This window comes from Homo sapiens, chromosome 5, assembly GCF_000001405.40.
Source record: "Homo sapiens chromosome 5, GRCh38.p14 Primary Assembly".
NCBI lineage: Eukaryota > Metazoa > Chordata > Mammalia > Primates > Hominidae > Homo > Homo sapiens.
This window is the reverse complement of record NC_000005.10, coordinates 115,441,566-115,463,556: the sequence shown is the minus strand read 5'-3', so window position 1 is coordinate 115,463,556 and position 21,991 is coordinate 115,441,566. Positions and strand designations below refer to the sequence as shown.

At 42.2% G+C, this 21,991-nt stretch overlaps 1 annotated feature.

The window, feature by feature from the left end:
• Positions 2,056-3,255: an enhancer, noted in NCBI's record as "P300/CBP strongly-dependent group 1 enhancer chr5:114795999-114797198 (GRCh37/hg19 assembly coordinates)". NCBI's record gives its function as "activates an origin of replication core promoter dependent on BRD2, BRD4, P300/CBP, MED14 and CDK7 cofactors, with strong dependence on P300/CBP, by STARR-seq in HCT116 cells {active_cell/tissue: HCT116}" and the evidence as "EXISTENCE:reporter gene assay evidence [ECO:0000049][PMID:35650434]".

Genomic DNA, 21,991 nt, shown 5'->3' with positions numbered 1-21,991 from the left:
CAATCTGGAGATTTTTTTTTTACTCCTGGGAAATTTTATTGTCACTTTACTTTTTTTCTCTCTCTCTTTTTATTTTTATTTATTTATTTATTTTTTTGAGACAAGATCTCACTCTGTTACCCAGGCTGGAGTGCAGTGGTGTGATGATGATCTTTTTTTTTTTTTTAAAGGTAAATAAGTTATTTATTATTTCTTTCTTTTTTTATTTTATTATTATTATACTTTAAGTTTTAGGGTACGTGTGCACAATGTGGGTGATTGAACATGGAGTTCATAAATGCAAATCGGTCAATCAATAAAGCTGGAAACTTTTTCTTTAGGATAATTTAATTTGTCAAAAGATAATCTGATAACCATCATTCTACTCGCTACCTCCAAGACATCAACTTTTTTCAGTTTCACATATAAGTGAGAATATACAATATTTGTCTTTCTTTGCCGAGCTTATTTCACTTAACATAACATCCCCTAGTTCCATCCACATTTCTTCAAAAGACAGGATTTCGTTTTTTATGGCTGAAAATGTATTTATATACAATAGCATTCCATTGTATATACAGACCTCATTTTCTTTATCCATTTATTTGTTGATGGACACAGGTTGATTCCTTATCTTGGCTATTGTGAATAGTGCCACAATAAACATGGGGGTACAGATATTTCTTCAATATTCTGATTTCCTTTCTTTTGGATATATTCCCAATCGTGGGATTGCTGGATCATATGGTAGTTCCATTTTAAGATTTTTGAGGAACCTTTATATTGTTTCCATAATAGTTGTACTAATTTACATTCTCATCAGCAGTGTATAAGCATTCCCCTTTCTTCACATCCTCACCAACATTTAGTTTTTGTCTTTTTGATAACAGCCATTCTAACTGGGGTGGGATGATATCTCATTGTGGTTTTGACTTGCATTTCCCTAACAATTAGTGACGTTGAGCATTTTTTCACATACCTGTTAGCCATTTGTATATCTTCTTTAGAGAAGTGAGGCGGAGAAGAGTAGTAGGGAGGGAGAAATGAAGAGAAGTTGGTTAAGTTTGCAGACTTCCATGTCCCTCCCCTCTGTTGCCCCTATCTCTGTAGCCCCAAGTCAAAGCCTTTCCCATTCAAATTACACACAAAAAAACTCTTTCATCACCAGCCTGGGAAACTAGTGGCCTGACTGTGCAAGGTGAGAGAAGAACATGACTGCTTCACAAACGAACTTTCAACTTCTATTTTTAGCTCCTTACCTCACCCCAACCCTTCATTGTACCTGCTGTCTCCAAATCTTGAGCATCTCAGGTTTTCCATTGGGATGAATGAGCTAATTCATTTGTGGTAACTTGTCTTCAGGTGACTTAAATCCTTGCTTCCTCTGTCTTACTAAACCACTTACCTCCATCTGGTCCTATCTTTCAAACTTGTGTGGAATTCTCTTGTCTGCTTGTTTTCTTTATTCTCTTTGTCTTTTATGGGTTTCTACATTCTTTTAGACTCTAGTTAGCCATTCAAACTCCATGATTCATCAGTTCCTCATCCATACATGAAAATAATGCTGGCTTTGCCTATCTGACTCAGAGACTTTTTGTGTGTGGATATAGTTTGATAATATACATGAAAGTGATTGTGGGAAAGCCTAGAGGTCTTTATCATTATTTTCCTTATGATGTCTTTGTCCTCATTAATCTGATTTTCTAAATAAATGCTGAATTCAAATTATGCTCTCATTTCTCACCAGAATGAGCAGTGTCTGTTTCTTCTTGGTTGTGGAAATTGTATCCCTCTTCCTTTTCATCTGCTACCATCTCTTTTCTGTTGAGGTTTTCAGGGTGTGCATGAATCACCACTGCTCCAAATGACTGTGTGATATTCTCTGCCCCACCCTTGAAGCACTCATCACTGGCTGGGTGGATTCTCACTGAGCTATCATGGGTGGTGACACCTACCATCTTTGAGCTTCCCAAGGAGTATCCCAGCTGCTAAACTGGGACTGATCAACAAGGGGAGGCTGATTCTCCATTGCTGGAGTTCTGATTTCTACCCAATGGGTGCTTTGTTGTGAAAGAGATTTCACTAACTAGTCAGGCCAAACCACCTATTTTAAATCAAGATAATGATCGTTAACACTTCCAGATTCTAAGAATGTTACATGTTTTAACTTATTTCATCTGCACAACACCCTGTAATATCCTATGTCACGGGGAACAAAACTGAGACCCAGGTTGATTAACAAACTTGCTCAGTTTCACAATGCTCGTCAGTAGCAGAGCTGGAATTTAATCCCAGACAATCTCTCCCCAGAGTCTAGGCTCTAAACCACAATTTTATCCTGTCTCTTAAATCGGCTTTGTTTAACTAGCTAAGAGTGAAGAAAATCTTCCAGAATTTAAAGTGCATAGTAGGGTGCTGGCCTTCCTTGATTCTTTGATAATGTAAATAAAAGTCAACACTGGGGTTCTACCTCTAAGGTTCTACCTTGTTTGTACCCAATACTCCAACCAATTGGACACTGATTTCTTAGGTGCTTGAGTAATAGGCTGATGGCAGGTTGAACCATATGAAATTGTCAATATTTGGCCATTTTTGACCTATATAAATGGCAATGTCATATGAATCAATTCAATATTTGTTGAGCCCCTACCTACTTTGGTGGAAGACATGGTTCCAGGCATTTTTCTTACGTTACTTAACCTTTACAACAATATTTCCAAGTATTTTTACCTCAATTTTTCACATGAGGAAATAGGCTGAAACTAACTAGCTGGAGATCACTCAGCAATTGAAGTGGTAAAGCCAGGGATCCTGTTCCAAGGTGGATTCCTTTCCACTGCACAGCTCTGCTGGCTGAGCCCCAGGAGCTGAGTGGAGCTGGAGGTTCTGCAGGCAAAAAGGAAGGTCACATTCGAGTGGCACACTCAAGTTATATCAGTTTTGAAGTTGAGCATGAGTCAAAAGGAGGAAATCAAATGACCTCTGGTAAACAGATATGAGTCAATCAGCAGCAAAAGTCAGCTTTGGGAAAGTGAATCAGACCTATTCCATTTTATTCAGTATTGTCACGACTGTGGGTGTACTTGCTACAGCTTTAAAGAAAATTTGGGGATTGAAGGGTGATTTGCCTAATTGGAGAATACTGTCATGGGAAGCCCAGCCAGGAGAGCCCAGATGGGGGTGGGGAGGCGGGGCATCTAAAACAGCTGGGGACTATTGGGATTCAAAATTGGAACAAATACAACTATGGAACTTAGGGAGTTTGAGGAAGAGATAGGATGGGAAGGTCTTTGGTAGTACAACCAGAAAAGAATGATAATTTGGGGCTCTCCAGAATCTCCAGTGCTAATTGAGCCAGATGGGGCTTGGCAACCCAGGTTAGCCACGTGGAAGCATTTTGGAATGACTACAGGCTGTAAGTTACAGATGCTGGGTTGGGAAGACAGGGAGTGTTAAATGGGCACAAACACACTGAGATATGTTCCAGTTAAGTGGAATATTATTCAGGGGTAGATGCAAAAATAGTTGAAGTGGTTCATAGACATTCATTTTAATTCTATGACTTTCCTCTGTGGGAAACTACTTTCATCTGGTTCTTTTCAATATGAAGTGAGTCATATTCTTTTTATTTGCCACAAGCATTTATTTGCCATAAGTGTCTTAAAGCATTTGACAATTGCTGCCTTATTTTCAAGAAATTGATTGAAACACCCTTGCTGAGCTGCTCAGAATTTGAGATTAATTCTCAACCACTGGCACAAAAGTAGCAAGAGAAGATAAGAGTGAATGTGGTCATTGATCAACAGATGTTTGTTTTAACTCTTTTCTGGAAAACCTGCCAAATACTGGGGAGTGTAAAGGCATCCAGACTGCCTTCTCTGAGCTTATACTCTAATTGGGAGAAATATGACATATACACAGAGCAGAAGACATTGACTTACAAATGCCAAATGTGCAGTGAATAAACAAAGTTACGGGAAGCAAGGAGGCCGACATTGGCAGTGGGGCTAAACAAGGCCCATGATTCCTGGAGAGGGTAGATTTGAGCTGATCCTTAAAGAATGAGCATTCAGGGATACTAGGAAAAGGGAGGAAGGCATTGCAGGCAATGAGAATGGCACAAGAAAGAAGTCCAGGGGTGAGAGAACCCCTATTTGCTCAGAACCCAAGAGGACCGGGTTGGACAGAGTGGAGAAATTGTTGGTGAAGTAGTATGAGTGCCCCCACTTCTTTTCTCTACATGATTTCCTGAGTGATCTCATTCCGTCTTTCTCATTTAAATAATGTCTATATGCTGATGATTCCTGGATTTATAATTCCAGCACAGACTGTTCTTCTGTATTCATGACAGAACTCTTGATTTTTGCCCTCCCAGCTCATCCCTGTCTTCCCACTTCCCATGTCTTTCTCCTGTTGGTAAATGGCATCATGATTTACTCAGGTGATCAAGCCCAAGCCCTGGGAATCATGCTTGACTTCTTTCATTTACTAGCCCATCTCTGATCCATCAACAAGTGACATCAGCTCTTCCACAAGAGTATCTCAAATATGTTCATGTTTTTCTGATTTCTACAAATACCACCCTGGTTCAAGGCACCAAGCTCTCCTGCCTGTCATTCTATCATAGCCCCTGATTTCAATCCTTCCAAGCTTAGCTCCCTGAAGTACTTTCTGTAACCTGCAGTAAGAATTTTGTTTTTGAAATGTCATCAGAACATATGTCAGTGGATCACTCTTCTGTTTAAAATGCTTTGATCGCTTCCCAGTGCTCATAGTATAAAATCCCAACTCCTCACCATGATCTACATCACCCTGCTTTGTGGACACCTCCCATGCCTGGCCAGCATCCATGCAACTTCTTCTACTAGCAGATTCTCCATTTTTCTTTAGGGGAACTACCCCTCCCTGATTCTTCCTGCAAGTGGTCTGTGTGGGCTGATTCCACCCCATGTCCTGTTTCAGCAGCCAGCAAGTAACTCCAGCATGGACAATTAGCATATTCTTTCCCCATGTTACAGTGGTTGTCTGAGAGATGAACACATCTCCTAAGTTGATTGGATAAAACTCAAGCCTAGATCTTTTACTAGAACACTGGTGCTTCTGGTGAGGGCCTAAAGAATATTACAATCATGGTGGAGCGAAGGGGAGCCAGAATGTCACACGGTGAGAGACAAAGCAAGAGAGAGAGGAGGAGTGGCATGCTACTCTAAACAACCAGCTCTCACATGAAATCACAGACTAAGAACTCACTCAATGCGGCAAGGACAGCACTAAGCCATTCATGAGGGATCCGCCCCCATGACCCAAACACCTCCCACTAGGCTCCCCCTTCAGCAGTGGGGATCACATTTCAGCATGAGATTTGGAGAGAACCACGTCCAAACCATATCACCTGGGAACTGCTGGCTGTAAAATTATGCATACTTGGAGTTAATAGGGAACCATCTGTGGGAGGAGGCTTCCTGAGTGCGAAGCCAACTCAGAACAAAGGAGACTGGGAATGGAGAAAGACCAAGTTTTGTGGACTCTGAGTCCAGCACAATCCTTCTTCCCATGCAGTGCCTCTACTTTTCAGTTACATGAGTCAAAATGTTCTCATTTTAGTTCTACTGTATGCTTATGCCTATACCTATCTATGTCTATTTATCTTTTGAAGAGATGGGAAGATCTCTTTCCAAGGAGCCTCCCCGGGAGTCTGCCCGTGTGTCTCGTTGGCCAGCATTGGTTCCTATGTCCATGCCAAACCAATTCCCAGAGGCTTAGGCCAATCCCTAAAGTGCATGGATCCTTGGGAGAGTAGGCAAAATTTGAGTTCTGTTAGAAAGCAGGTGGCAGGTGACTCATTGCTGGTTGTAATTTAACAGGGTCTGCGACGTAAGGTTATCTTCTTTTCTTGGAGTTTTCCAGGCGCTATAAATGTGAAAGAGGCCTGACACCATGAATGGGGGAAGCAGTTGGTTGTATATCTAAACAGGATTGGTGGTTTCCAAACTGACCCCTGATGGTCTGCATGATTTTGGTGGAATCCCCTCTGCTTTCTTGATTTTAGTTTCAATCTCTGTATTAGGAATTCAGAGATTTAGCCACAATGTGTATACAGTGTATACAGCACAGACCATCTCAGAAAATAGATTTTAAAAAGGACCTTCCCTTCTGTGTTATTGCCTTATAGAAACTCATAAAACATTTTTGAAGCCACAGGGTTTTATCATTTTGCTGCAGCTTTTTTTTAAATTTACCCATTCCTGCCCCGTTCCCAGTGCCACCTCTTTTCCCTGTTCTGGTTATTTATAATTTAAAGAGAATATGCTCTGCCTCTCAAACACTGTCTATTGGAAACCACTGACACAGAAAAGGAGAATCAAAATCAGTCTCCTTAGGCTGCCTCTGAAGGATTTCACGCAGCTGTAATTGAATTAGTGCCTTTTCTGAATGGTCTGGGGCCAGGATCAATAAAGCTCCACAAAAGTTTAGACTCCTAAGGGGAACTGTGGGGAAACTGCAGGAAGAATTCCAGGGAGGGCAAATCCTTGAGGGCTGCAGAGCCCAGAGCAATGCAGCCAGCATGCGCCAGATGTTATGAAAGTATGTATGCTTGTAATGTAAATTAATAGCCATCAAAAATAACTGCAACATCCTGGGGCACCCACTGCCACCACCAAACCTAGGGCTCAGGGTAGACACCCCAGTTTCCCTCCCGGAAGAACAGGCTTGATTTAGAAGGGGTCCCCTGGAGGGTGGAGCTGAAGGTGAGGAGTTAGGCGAACAGATGAGGCAACTTGGCCCCTGGAGACACCCAGACCTTTGTTCCTAGGAAGTGGATCCTCCTTTTTTGCCGTCTCCTGTTGATCCTCTGTGACTCGGCTCAGGCTCTGCCTTCCTCTTAGAGCCTGCCCTGACACCTGTCCACAGTTCTGATAGTTCTGTGCTCCCACGGCACTCTGCCCTTGACCAAAGAAGCTCTTCCACGGGCTGAAATTGCAGGGCCATTTGTTTTTCTTCCCCACTAACCTTGTTTCTTGAGGATTTACCAATCACTTCATCAAACGCTAGCTGTGTAGCCTCAGACAGATTTATTAGATTTTCTGAGCCTGTTTCCTCATCTGTAAAATGGGGATAATGACAAACCTTTCTTCAAATGGTTGTTGTGAGAATTAAATAAGATAGTGTGTAGCCCAGAAGCTGGGGTATAGTACTCTGTAAATATTGTTTTGGGGTTATTACATCATCATTATTATTATCTTTATATTTGATTCCTCATCAGTGAGTCAGGGTACATGTTGCGTGATCAGTATATGTTGTTGAGGGAAAATGAATGTGGGATCGCTTGAGCAGAGAAAGAACATATAAACAGGTAATGATAATGAAGATCATTATTATAGTAAGCCAACAATGCAGGGAGACGTGACAGGGTGGCAAGTGTGTGTAATTAACTCTCTAGAGGGAGGGACCTACAAGAGTTCATTGATTGCAAAAGAATGAAATATCCCTGTGAGATGAAGCAGTCAGGCGAGACTTCACCAGGGCCAGTAGAGCCTGCGATGTCTGTAAGGATAGATGGGACCTGAATACACAGAGAGGAAAGGGGAGGAATTTCAGATAGAGGTCCCCTATACTCAGACCTGACATCTTGGAAAATGTGAGCATTGGGGATGTTCCCTTCAGGAGCTGATATTTAATTTGACTTTAGGATCTGTGGCTTAACCCTAAAGGGCCCAGCCCAATCCCAGAGTCTGTTTTATTCTTGTTGGAGAGTGGGTGGCGGTGGCAGTACCAAGCCCACACATCTGCAGAAACATTTTCTTTGTAAACCAGCTCTCTGTGACAATCATTGCATGTGTTTTGGGGTAGGGGCCAGCTGACTCAGGAATTAATCAAACCTTTTATGCCCATTCTCATCAGCTTTCAAAGAGTCTTTACACAGAACACTCCTAAATGAGCAGTGAATGAATATTCATAGACATATTTTCCTTACCACCAATCCGGAAGGACACCACTCTCAGAGCCATTTTGCTGTTTCTTGGTAGAGTGGACTGACTTTGGCCTTTGTGCTTATTGCAGAGAAGAGGGAAGTGAGTCAGCCCATAACACTGAAGAAACAGAATGTCCTTCTCCCATCTGTGATAAACTTGTCAAAGGCCAAGAAGCACGGAGGAGTCAGAGGGTTTCCAATCAGAGCCCTTGTCTGCAATGGGTAGAACAGGTTGACGTGTGCATTCACCACAGACGACCCAGATTACCCTCCATGAACCAACGGACTCGGTTTCTCATGACCTACTTTTCATTCATTTGCCTTGCCAGACCCACAGTTCTTGGCATTCTGATTGGACACTGCCTTTCAGGAATAATAACTCCTACATTTAAAGAGCAGTTTCCAGTTTGTGGGGGCTTCTGTCCACATTATCTGATTTCTTCAATGATCCCGAAAGAAAGGAAGGGCAAGAATCATTTAACCATTGCACAAGTGAGGCATCTGAAGCTGAGAGGTGAGTTCAGTCACAGAAAGGCAGATGTGAACTTAGAACACACAAATCCCAACTCCCAGGCCAGGGCTCTGCTGCATGGCCCCTTTGCCCTCCTGCTATAACCAGGATTTGAATTATTGACACTGCAAGTATCATATGCTCAAAAACTCAAATAATGTTTGAGTCCTTCATCAAAGGAGTAAGGCAGTTGTTCAACTTCTGCTCTGAAAGAGGTCTCCCAAAGGGCAATCCCATTGCAGAACACTTTCTAAGGCCCACAGGAACTCAAGTGGATTTCGCTTCTCTGAAACTCATTCCAGTGTTCTTCTGAGTGCCACGCAGTGCAACACAAACCGTCTCCTGTCTTTCACCTCTCTTTCACGTGGAGTCTTGAGGGCTGCCCTGGCACAAGGAACTGTTTCCTCTCCAACATTTCACTTGACAAACAGGCACTTTCCTACAATACTTGTGAGGGGTCAAACAGGCCAGGTCTATGGAGGACAGTTGTGTTATATTCCTTAAAATTACAAATGCATTGACAGTTGCATTCCAAACAATCTCACTTCTGGGGATTTACCTACATACATACCTATATATGTATAATAAGATGTATGTACAAGGTTTTCAGCTGCAGCTCTGTTTTGTAATAATAAAGATTAAATTCAATCTAAGGGTTCATCTGTAGGAAACCAGTTAAATAAATTATAGCAGAACCACATAAACACTATGCAGCTACAAAAATGAGTGAGGAAGTTTTCAGTAAATTAATACAAATTGCCAGGATATATTATTAAGTGGAAAAGCAAAATGCAAAACTTTGTATATAATTTGCTACATTTTGTGTAAGGGATGGGAAAGAGTACGTATTTGCCTGTGTTTGCATAAAGGAACACTGGAAGGATATTCAGGGAACTCATAAAATGGTTACTTTTGAGAAGTAGAGACTGGGATAGATGAGCTAGTGGTGAGGGAGAGGGACCTAGACTTTTTAAAGGGCACTTCTGACATCATTTTGAGTTTTGAAGCATGTTAATGAATTATCTATTCATGTTATTAAATTAAATCTAATCCACTTGCCCCTAGGAGCCAGCCAAGGTGTGCTGACCTCTTGCCATTGAATTTCTACCTTGGAGGCTTCCTAGAGGTATTTGAATGGAATCTATATTGTTAAGTCTTGGGCCATTGCTCAGGCATCTCATGAAGTCACTGGAAGATACTATCACCTAAAAAGACCCAGTCAGGTGAGAATGTGTCACCTCAAGTGGAGATACAGAAAAAGTGAGGAGGTGTCCTGAGGCTGGGCAGGGTGGAAGGATTGCTTGGAGGATTGAAAGGCTTTCCAAAGTTGTTTGAATGACTTTGGGATTTTGTGGAAATTAAGGCCTCCCCTTTTGGAGCTCAGGTGAATTACCAGGTTATCTTCCTACTGTGTTCTAGGCCTCAAGCCAGTCCTGTGGCACTGAGATAGGCCAATCTAAGAATCAGTAGATATTCTAATGCTAGCTCAGCTGCAGGTACGACCTCACCTGGAATGAGGCCTGGCTTGAATTGGCTTCTAAGAGTAAGGTCTCAGCACCGATTGCTCCACCCCATTATGTGGGATATGCTGGAGACCTTAAACCACCCCAAGGACAGAGAGGTTTCCCACTCAGCAACAACCAAGTGCCTGACTGCTCTGGCTCTACTCAGAGGAAATTAAGCAGTTTAATTGCACCAGCTCCCCTCTCTCCTAACAGCCTCTGCCCTTCCCAAATATGCCCTTCTTTCCTTGTTATTGGTATATTCATTTCAAGAACACTTGCATGCTCGATTTTACTAGACAACATAAAAATGAGCCCTGCCTCTACCAGCAGAGCTGGCAGTAAACCGTGGTCATCATCAATGATTCTCCTTCCCCACTTCCACTTCACTGCAGGGTGGGGACAGGTGTTGGAGTAACTTTGTCATTTTTACAATTTTCCTAGAGCAGTGAGAATAAGATATAAAGGAGCAATTTTTTCCTGCCAAGCAAAGACACACTTGCATTCCACAGCTCAAAACACCTCCAAGTTGGCTGCATTTATGTGGAATTTTGAACCATGCCTCAGCATACCCTAAGCTCCCCTGAGCATTCAGTAAGGGCTCAGGAACTCAGTGAGGTGTACAGGAAACTCTGGACTCTTCCTACAAGCATAATAGAAGCATACAGAGAGTACGGCTTTGCTGAGAAAAGTGGCTCAACTTGGCTAATTTGCTTCACTGTTCATTTGCCTCCACCATGAGTAACAGAAAGGAAAATTTTAACTGGTTTCTTCTATTTTCTCTTCACTTAGATGAAAGAAGTATTTGTTTTGTTTCATTTCACTTGTAGGAAAAAGGCCTAGATAGGTCAAAGGAAGATAAGAAACTTAATAGAGCTCTGAGTTGAAAGTCTAGGCTCAGATTCAGGCCCTGCCCACTGATGGTCTGTGATTGATTTCATCAGTCTGTGGGCCTTGATACCCTACCTGTGGAATGGGTGTAACAGATCTCTTTTGTTACGTCTTGAAGGATGTTATGAGAAGAAATGAGCTGGATCTTCACAACTGTTTTCCTTTCCTACCCACTACTAAGAGAACCTGTGGAGAAATACCTGTAATCCATGTCTTTAAGGAGCTCACTGTTTACAACAGAAAAGAGACAGAGCACATGTATACTGACAAAAATAATACTGAGATAAGCATACACTAAACCATCAACAAGAATCAAGTCGTGTGGTAGGACTGTGAGTACCTGTATCAAGGAGCCCAGGAGTGGAGCCATTGGAGTGAGTGGTGCCTGGAAGGTGCGGGCAGGACTCAGAGCCAGGTGTTAAAGGTCTAGGGATCACATTCACCTGCAGGGCAGATAAGAGCATGTGAAGTGGTCAATGCAAGCCAGTGAGCTGATGAGGGCCATAGTGAAGGTTTTCAGGGTAAAGAAAAAAAGATCAAACTTTGCTAGATGAACAAAACCCCCCTGCAGGCAGACCCCAGCCCTTGGCTGCAATTTGTGACCTCTGGGCTAATAGGTCTGTACAGACACAGAGAGGTGGGGAAAGGGAAATAGCAGGGGTCACGACTTTTGGGGCTTCCAGTAGATGTGCAGGATTCAGTGCCCTTGCGGGGAGAGGGTCTGAGTGCTGAGCGACCCCTACTCAGGTTAGCACTTAGCTAATCTGGCTCTGAAGCAAGGGGCCCCTGCTGAGAAGCACTGTCAGTCCTGCTGAGGCCTGGAACTCTATATGCTCATGTTATTCTTTAATGTTGTTATTATTTTCACCAGATACTGCATGTAGGAGCAGAGCCTTTGTCTAGGTCTGTGGGAGCCCACCCACACCCCGTTGCCAGAACTGCTCACCTTGCCTGCCACAGCCCTCGGACTGGCCCACCTGAGTCTGTGCCCAGAGCCCTCCGTCCCACCCACCAGAACAATGGGAGTGGCTGGGTGTGGGCTGCTGTTGTGCACATGGGAGGCTGGGACACTTGATGAATTAAATCATTAACCTTCAGCTTCTCCAACACCTGCTCAGCTGCACAGCTAGAGCTCCTCGTCATCACACACACACACACACACACACACACACACACACCCCTATGAAGCTGCATTTGGTAAATTTCTAGTCACAAATCAGTCAAAGAAGACAGTTTAAACAAGGAAGGCCCCTGCTTGTTTAGAGTTGTGGCACCTCTCAAGGTGATAGCCTCCTGCCCCTTAGTTGTATTACAAACAATCTAGGAAACACACTCCTGACACATCTAATAGTGTTTCTCAAAAGTTTGAGAACGATAGCATAGTCACATCAGAACCAATGTGCAATTGTAATGTATTTTTTTTTTAATTTTCTCAGAAAAGATCGACTGTGGGGAATGAATAAGATTACAATAAAACCTGAGGAATTTAATGCCACATTAATTGAACACACATTTTCACTTGAAGCATTGCCTCATTTCACGTCTCATCCTAGCTCGGCCCCACCCAGCAATTACATTTCATATTCATCATTAGTATTTCTGCTATGATAATGGGTATCAAGGGGAGTTCAGTTGATTCACAGATGGTACGATTTTGCTCAGTTCTGGAGGCTGAGTCTATAGTAAATGGGATAGCCACATAGAAAGTGTGGATTCCATTAATCATCTGGAAGCTTCCCAGAAGTTGCTGCATATCTGCTTTACAAACAAAATTCAGAGGCCTTCTGGAACTTTCACATTGTATTTAAAAACCCTTTCAGAACTGGTAGCACTGAATTCTTGCTTAACTTGGGAAATTCCCTCTATTTCCCCATGGCCCTGGACCTCTGGGCCATGTAAAAGTTGCTGATGTTTGTTCTGGGGAGACACTCTGGCTTGAGATGGGCTGACAATAGTTGCTCTTAAAGCTTAGGCTCTAATTTGTTCTTTAAGGAGGTTGAGGATGAAAGCCTGTTTTTGTTTAGGGTCTTGGCTTACTTTCATTTTAAACAGAGGGGAAGAAAGGCAGGAGGAACTGGAATGAGGTCACAGGCAGTAATTGGTCTAGGAAATGGCTCCACAGGACCCCTGCGAAATGGGCCTTCATTTATCAGCCTGGGAAATAGAGGTCATTGAGAAATCTGAAATATTTTTTAGCATGGTGCTGGAGGAAGAACCTGACTGGTGGGTGGGGTACAATCAGGGATTCCAAACTCTGCCTACAGGGACCAGGCTGGTAACTTAAATAGGGTGGGAAAAACTTGTGGCTACCTGGAGAGTCTTGGCTGTGTCCCAAAAAGGCACGTATGTCAGCCCCAGCCAATTGTTGTCCAGGGTCATTCAGTGGGTCTAGTGTTGCTAACTGTAATTGTTTTTCAAGAGAAGCTGGAAATCCAGATTTTTGTATGTAATCTTTCAACCTAATAAAGATTGAGAAATTAATTTAAATATTTAAAACCTTAGGAGGATCATTAAAATATATTTGCAATCAGTATATGGCCCCATGGCCACCAGTTTGCTACCTCTAGTTGGGACATCTTCTGGCTCAAGACAGATTTGTTCTCTTCAGATATTTTTCAAGTCTACGAGTCCCTTAAGTAGCAGAGGTTTATTGAAATCTCTGTCCCACACTATCCTGAACTTTGAATGAGGGTGGGAATAGAAGAATATAAGGCAAAATTATTACCCTAAGTTTATATTTAGAAGAGGAAGCAAGATGAACACATATTATTACTTTCTACAAGGGCTTTATAGTTGTGGATGTAGCTTATTTGTCCTCTCAGATTGTAAACTCTTCATCACTTCAGGGGCTTCCAAGACAAACTAAGGTAATAATGAAAAGTTAGAGGTGCACAAATTGCAACAAAGTAACGTGGTAAAATGCCAAAATGGCAGAGAAAAGTCTATGGATTCCAGGGTAACTTACTGAAAAGGGGATGCTGAGGAAAGCACCTGAGTAAAGGTGTGGAGAATGAGAAACCAATGTGATTGGAAGCATCCAAGAGGCTCATTTGCCAGGTGGAGCAAGAACAATGAGGTCGCTATTACAAGAAAGAAGAGAATGAAGAGCCTTTACCAGATTGGTGACAGTGAGAACATGAAAGAAGAGGACCACGTGAGAGACTGAAACACTGGACTGGTAGAATCAATAGTGCTTGGAAACAGGGTCAATGTTGGGGCTAAGGCAGTAAGTGATCAGAAAATTCCCTAGAGTTTAAGCCTGAGTTCTTGGAAAATACATATATATATATACATATACACACACAATTTAGCAAGGAGGTGGACAATGTGAAGGGGGCCAGCCCTTCCATACCTGTGGGTATTTCTCATCAGGCGGGACGAGAGACTGAGAAAAGAAGTAAGACACAAAGTATAGAGAAAGAAAAGTGGGCCCAGGGGACCAGCCCAGCATATGCAGGACCTGCACCGGCACCGGTCTCTGAGTTCCCTCAGTATTTATTAATTACTATTTTCACTATCTCAGCAAGAGGAATGCGGCAGAAGAGCAGGGTGATAGTGGGGAGAAGGTCAGCAAGAAAACACATGAGCAAAGGAATCTGTGTCACAAATAAGTTCAAGGGAAGGTACTGTGCCTGGATGCGCACGTAGGCCAGATTTATGCTTTTCTCCACTCAAACATCTCAGTGGAGTAAAGAGTAACAGAGCAGCATTGCTGCCAACAAGTCTCGCCTCCCGCCACAGGGAGGCTTTTCTCCTATCTCAGAATTTAACAAATGTACAATCGGGTTTTATACCGAGACATTCAGTTCCCAGGGGCAAGCAGGAGACAGTGGCCTTCCTCTATCTCAACTGCAAGAGGACTTCCTCTTTTACTAATCCTCCTCAGCACAGACCCTTCACGGGTGTTGAGCTGGGGGATGGTCAGGTCTTTCCCATCCCATGAGGCCATATTTCAGACTATCACATGGGGAGAAACCTTGGACAATACCTGGCTTTCCAGGGCAGAGGTCCCTGCAGCTTTCCGCAGTGCATTGTGCCCTGGTTTATCGAGACTGGAGAATGGTGATGACTTTTACCAAGCATACTGCCTGTAAACATTTTGTTAACAAGGCACATCTTGCACAGCCCTAGATCCCTTAAACCTTGATTCCATATAACACATGTTTCTGTGAGCTCAAGGTTGGAGCAAAGTTACAGATTAACAGCATCTCAGGGCACAGCAATTGTTCAGGGTACAGGTCAAAATGGAGTTTCTTATGTCTTCCATTTCTACATAGACACAATAACAGTCTGATCTCTCTTTCTTTTCCCTACACAATGAATTTTTGGCATACTGAGATTTAGGCTGGCAGTCAGGTGAAAAGGTCCTGAATATTTTAAAAATACCTATTAGTCTAGAGCTACTGAGAAAGTTTGAAATTAGAGATGCACATTTTGGAGTCTTTTTTATCAAGATGATGAAGTCAGAGGGTAGACAAAAATTTTTTTTCTTTTTTCTTCAATTATACTTTAAGTTCTAGGGTACATGTGCACAACGTGCAGGTTTGTTACATATGTGTCCATGTGCATGTTGGCGTGCTGCACCCATTGACTCATCATTTACATTAAGTATATCCCCTAATGCTATCCCTCCCCACTCCCCCCACCCCACAACAGGTCCCAGTATGTGATGTTCCTCACCCTGTATCCAAGTGTTCTCACTGTTCAGTTCCCACCTATGAGTGAGAACATGCGGTGTTTGGTTTTCTGCCCTTGCGATAGTTTGCTCAGAATGATGGTTTCCAGTTTCATCCATGTCTCTACAAAGGACATGAACTCATCCTTTTTATGGCTGCATAGTATTCCATGGTATATATGTGCCACGTTTTCTTAATCCAGTCCATCATTGATAGACATTTGCATTGGTTCCAAGTCTTTGCTATTGTGAATAGTGCTGCAATAAATATATGTGTGCATGTGTCTTTATAGCAGAATAATTTATAATCCGTTGGGCATATACCCAGTAATGGGATGGCTGGGTCAAATGGTATTTCCAGTTCTAGATTCTTGAGGAATCGCCACACTGTCTTCTGCAATGGTTGAACTAGTTTACAGTCCCACCAACAGAGTAAAAGTGTTCCTATTTCTCCACATCCTCTCCAGCACCTGTTGTTTCCTGACTTTTTAATGATCACTGTTCTAACTGGTGTGAGATGGTATCTCATTGTGGTTTTGATTTGCATTTCTCTGATGGTCAGTGATGATGAGCATTTTTTCATGTGTCTGTTGGTTGTATAAATGTCTTGTTTTGAGAAGTGTCTATTCATATCCTTCGCCCACTTTTTGATGGGGTTGTTTGATTTTTTTCTTGTAAATTTGTGTAAGTTCTTTGTAGATTCTGGTTATTAGTCCTTTGTCAGATGGGTAGAGTGTAAAAATTTTCTCCCATTCTGTAGGTTGCCTGTTCACTCTAATGGTAGTTTCTTTTGCTGTGCAGAAGCTCTTTAGTTTATTTAGATCCCATTAGTCAATTTTGGCTTTTGTTGCCATTGCTTTTGGTGTTTTAGTTATTAAGTCTTTGCTCATGCCTATGTCCTGAATGGTATTGCCTAGGTTTTCTTCTAGGGTTTTTATGGTTTTAGGTCTTAAATTTAAGTCTTTAATCCCTCTTGAATTAATTTTTGTATAAGGTGTAAGGAAGGGATCCAGTTTCCACTTTCTGCATATGGCTAGCCAGTTTTCCCAACACCATTTATTAAATAAGGAATCCTTTCCCCATTCCTTGTTTTTGTCAGGTTTGTCAGAGATCAGATGGTTGTAGATGTGTGGTGTTATTTCTGATGCCTCTGTTCTGTTCTATTGGTCTATATCTCTGTTTTGATACCAGTACCATGCTGTTTTGGTTACTGTAGCCTTGCAGTGTAGTTTGAAGTCAGGTAGCGTGATGCCTCCAGCTTTGTTCTTTTGGCTTAGGATTGACTTGGTGATGCGGGCTCTTTTTTGGTTCCATATGAACTTTAAAGTAGTTTTTTCCAATTCTTTGAAGAAAGTCATTGGTAGCTTGATGGGGATGGCATTGAATCTATAAATTACCTTGGGCAGTATGGCCATTTTCACGATATTGATTCTTCCTATCCATGAGCATGGAATGTTCTTCCATTTGTTTGTGTCCTCTTTTATTTCGTTGAGCAGTGCTTTGTAGTTCTCCTTGAAGAGGTCCTTCACATCCCTTGTAAGATGGATTCCTAGGTATTTTATTCTCTTTGAAGCAATTGTGAATGGGAGTTCACTCATGATTTGGCTCTCTGTTTGTCTGTTATTGGTGTATAAGAATGCTTGTGATTTTTGCACATTGATTTTGTATCCTAAGACTTTGCTGAAGTTGCTTATCAACTTAAGGAGATTTTGGGCTGAGATGATGAGGTTTTCTAAACATACAATCATGTCATCTGCAAACAGGGACAATTTGACTTCCTCTTTTCCTAAATGAATACCATTTATTTCTTTCCCCTGCCTGATTGCCCTGGCCAGAACTTCCAACACTATGTTGAATAGGAGCGGCGAGAGAGGGCATCCCTGTCTTGTGCCAGTTTTCAAAGGAAATGCTTCCAGTTTTTGCCCACTCAGTATGATATTGGCTGTGGGCTTATCATAAATAGCTCTTATTATTTTGAGATATGTCCCATCAATACCTAGCTTATTGAGAGTTTTTAGCATGAAGGGCTGTTGAATTTTGTCAAAGGCCTTTTCTGCATCTATTGAGATAATCATGTGGTTTTTGTCTTTGGTTCTGTTTATATGATGGATTACATTTATTTATTTGTGTATGTTTTACCAGCCTTGCATCCCAGGAATGAAGCCAACTTGATCATGGTGGATAAGCTTCCTGATGTGCTGTTGGATTCAGTTTGCCAGTATTTTATTGAGGATTTTTGCATCGATGTTCATCGGGGATATTGGTCTAAAATTCTCTTTTTTTTGGTTGTGTCTCTGCCAGGCTTTGGTATCAGGATGATGCTGGCCTCATAAAATGAGTTAGGGAGGATTCCCTCTTTTTCTATTGATTAGAATAGTGTCAGAAGCAATGGTACCAGCTCCTCTTTTGGGCTGAGACAATGAGGTTTTCTAAATATACAATCATGTTGTCTGCAAACAGGGACAATTTGACTTCCTCTTTTCCTAATTGAATACCCTTTATTTCCTTCTACCTCTGGTAGAATTTGGCTGTGAATCCATTTGGTCCTGGACTTTTTTTGATTGGTAGGCTATTAATTTTTGCCTCAATTTCAGAATCTGTTATTGGTCTATTCAGGGATTCAACTTCTTCCTGATTTAGTCTTGGGAGGGTGTATGTGTCCAGGAATTTATCCATTTCTTCTATATTTTCTAGTTTATTTGTGTAGAGGTGTTTATACTATTCTCTGATGGTAGTTTGTATTTCTGTGGGATCGGTTGTGATATCCCCTTTATCATTTTTTATTGCATCTATTTGATTCTTCTCTCTTTTCTTCTGTATTAGTCTTGCTAGCAGTCTATCAATTTTGTTGATCTTTTCAAAAAACCAGCTCCTGGATTCATTGAGTTTTTGAAGGGTTTTTTTTGTGTCTCTATCTCCTTCAGTTCTGCTCTGATCTTAGTTATTTCTTGCCTTCTGCTAGCTTTTGAATGTGTTTGCTCTTGCTTCTCTAGTTCTTTTAATTATGATGTTAGGGTGTCAATTTTAGATCTTTCCTGCTTTCTCTTGTGGGCATTTAGTGCTATAAATTTCCCTCTACTCCCTGCTTTAAATGTGTCCCAGAGATTCTGGTATGTTGTGTGTTCTCACTGGTTTCAAAGAACATCTTTATTTCTGCCTTCATTTTGTCTGAAGTCATGACATCATTCTGACTTCATAGTCATTCGGGAGCAGGTTGTTCAGTTTCCATGTAGTTGAGTGGTTTTGAGTAAGTTTCTTAATCCTGAGTTCCAGTTTGATTGCACTGTCATCTGAGAGACAGTTTGTTATCATTTCTCTTCTTTAAATTTGCTGAGGAGTGCTTTACTTCCAACTATGTGTTCAATTTTTGAATAAGTGCAATGTAGTGCTGAGAAGAATTTAAATTCTGTTGATTTGGGGTGGAGAGTTCTGTAGATATCTGTTAGGTCCACTTGGTGCAGAGCTGAGTTCAATTCCTGGATATCCTTGTTAACTTTCTGTCTTGTTGATCTGTCTAATGTTGACAGTGGGGTGTTAAAGTCTCCCATTATTATTGTGTGGGAGTCTAAGTCTCTTTGTAGGTCTCTAAGGACTTGCTTTATGAATCTGGGTGCTCCTGTATTGGGTACATAGATATTTAGGAGAGTTAGCTCTTCTTGTTGAATTGATCCCTTTACCATTATGTAATGGCCTTCTTTGTCTCTTTTGATCTTTGTTGGTTTAAAGTCTCTTTTATCAGAGACTAGGACAGAGACTGACACCTCATACAGCTGGGTGCCCCTCTAGACTAGGATTGCAACTGCTGCTTTTTTTTTGTTTTCCATTTGCTTGGTAGATCTTCCTCCATCCCTTTATTTTGAGCCTATGTGTTTCTCTTCATGTGAGATGGGTCTCCTGAATATAGCACACTGTTGGGTCTTGACTCTTTATCCAATTTGCCAGTCGGTGTCTTTTAATTGGAACATTTAGCCTATTTACCTTTAAGGTTAATATTGTTATGTGTGAATTTGATCCTGTCACTATGATGTTAGCTGGTTATTTTGCTCATTAGTTGATGCAGTTTCTACTGCATCGATGGTCTTTACAATTTGGCATGTTTTTGCAGTGGCTGGTACCTGTTGTTCCTTTCCATGTTTAGTGCTTCCTTCAGGAGCTCTTGTAAGACAGGCCTCGTGGTGACAAAATCTCTCAGCATTTGCTTGTCTGTAAAGGATTTTATTTCTCCTTCACTTTTGAAGCTTAGTTTGGCTGGATATGAAATTCTGGGTTGAAAATTCTTTTCTTCAGGAATGTTGAATATTGGCCTCCACTCTTTTCTGGCTTGTAGAGTTTCTGCTGAGAGATCTGCTGTTAGTCTGATGGGCTTCCCTTTGTGGGTAACCCGACCTTTCTCTCTGGCTGCCCTTAACATTTTTTCCCTTCAGTTCAACTTTGGTGAATCTGACAATTATGTGTCTTGGAGTTGCTCTTCTCGAGGAGTGTCTTTGTGGCGTTCTCTGTATTTCCTGAATTTGAATGTTGGCCTGCCTTGCTAGGTTGGGGAAGTTCTCCAGGATAATATCCTGAAGAGTGTTTTCCAACCTGGTTCCATTCTTCCCATCACTTTCAGGCACACCAATCAGACGTAGATTTTGTCTTTTTACATAGTCCCATATTTCTTGGAGGCTTTATTCATTTCTTTTTACTCTTTTTTCTCTAAACTTCTCTTCTCGCTTCACTTCATTCATTTGATCTTCAATCACTGATACCCTTTTTTCCACTTGATCGAATTGGCTACCGAAGCTTGTGCATGCATCACAAAGTTCTCATGCCGTGGTTTTCAGCTCCATTGGGTCATTTAAGGTCTTCTCTACACTGTTTATTCTAGTTAGCCATTCATCTAATCTTTTTTAGAGGGTTTTAGCTTCTTTGCGATGGGTTCAAACATCCTCCTTTAGCTCTGAGAAGTTTGTTATTACCGATCGTCTGAAGCCTTCTTCTCTGAACTCATCAAAGTTATTCTCCGTCATCTTTGTTCTGTTGCTGGTAAGGGGCTGTGTTCCTTTGAAGGAGAAGAGGAGCTCTGATTTTTAGAATTGTCAGCTTTTCTGCTCTGGTTTCTCCCCATCTTTGTGGTTTTATCTACCTTTGGTCTTTGATGATGGTGAAGTACAGAGGGGGTTTTGGTGTGGATGTCCTTTCTGTTTGTTAGTTTTCCTTCTAACAGTCAGGACCCTTAGCTGAAGGTCTGTTGGAGTTTGCTGGAGGTCCACTCCAGACGCTGTTTGCCTGGGTATCACCAGTGGAGGCTGCAGAACAGCAAATATTGTAGAATGCCAAATGTTGCTGCCTGATCCTTCCCTTGGAAACTTCATCTCAGAGGGTCACCCAGCAGTATGAGGTATCAGTTGGCCCCTACTGGGAGGTGCCTCCCAGTTAGGCTACTCGGGGGTCAGGGACCCACTTGAGGAGGCAGTCTGTCCATTCTCAGATCTCAAACTCTGTGCTGGGAGGACCACTACTCTCTTCAAAGCTGTCAGACAGGGACGTTTAAGTCTGCAGAAGTTTCTGCTGCCTTTTGTTCAGCTATGCTCAGCCCCCAGAGGTGGAGTCTACAGAGGCAGGCAGGCCTCCTTGAGCTGTGGTGGGCTTTAACCAGTTTGAGCTTCCTGGCCACTTTGTTTACCTTCTCAAGCCTCAGCAATGGTGGATGCCCCTCCCCAAGTCTCACTGCCACCTTGCAGTTCCATCTCAGACTGCTGTGCTAGCAGTGAGTGAGGCTCCATGGGCGTGGGACACTCTGAGCCATGCGTGGGATATAATCTCCTGGTGTGCTGTTTGCTAAGACCGTTGGAAAAGCGTAGTATTAGGGTAGGAGTGTCCCAATTTTCCAGGTACCATCTGTCACGGCTTCCCTTGGCTAGGAAAGGGAATTCCCCGACCCCTTGCACTTCCTGGGTGAGGCAATGCCCCACCCTACTTTGGCTTACGCTCCTTGGGCTGCACCAACTGTCTGACAAGCCCCAGTGAGATGAACCCGGTACCTCACTTGGAAATGCAGAAATCACCCGTCTTCTGCATTGCTCACACTGGAAGCTGTAGACTGGAGCTGTTCCTATTTGGCCATCTTGGAACCTCCAAGGGTAGATAAAATTTGTAAGAAGATTGTGGGGGAGATGAGAATTCAACTGAGGATAAAACTTTAGGGAAATGCCTGCATTTAAGATGTCAGATAAAGAAGAGTATCCTGAAAATATAGTATCAGCAAAAGAGCCAAGAAGAAAGACGCAGTAACAACCCCAAATGCAGCTGAAAGCCAAGGACAGTGTGGCCCCAAGAGAATCTGATAACTAATCAGTCGTCAAGAAATCTCCAGTGAGCAGCTTCAGTTAGATGGGAGTGTAGCACAGAAGTCAGGAGACAAAAACATTTAAGAGTAAGTGGGAGACTAATGTGAACAACAGGGCAAACTAGAGTTGCCT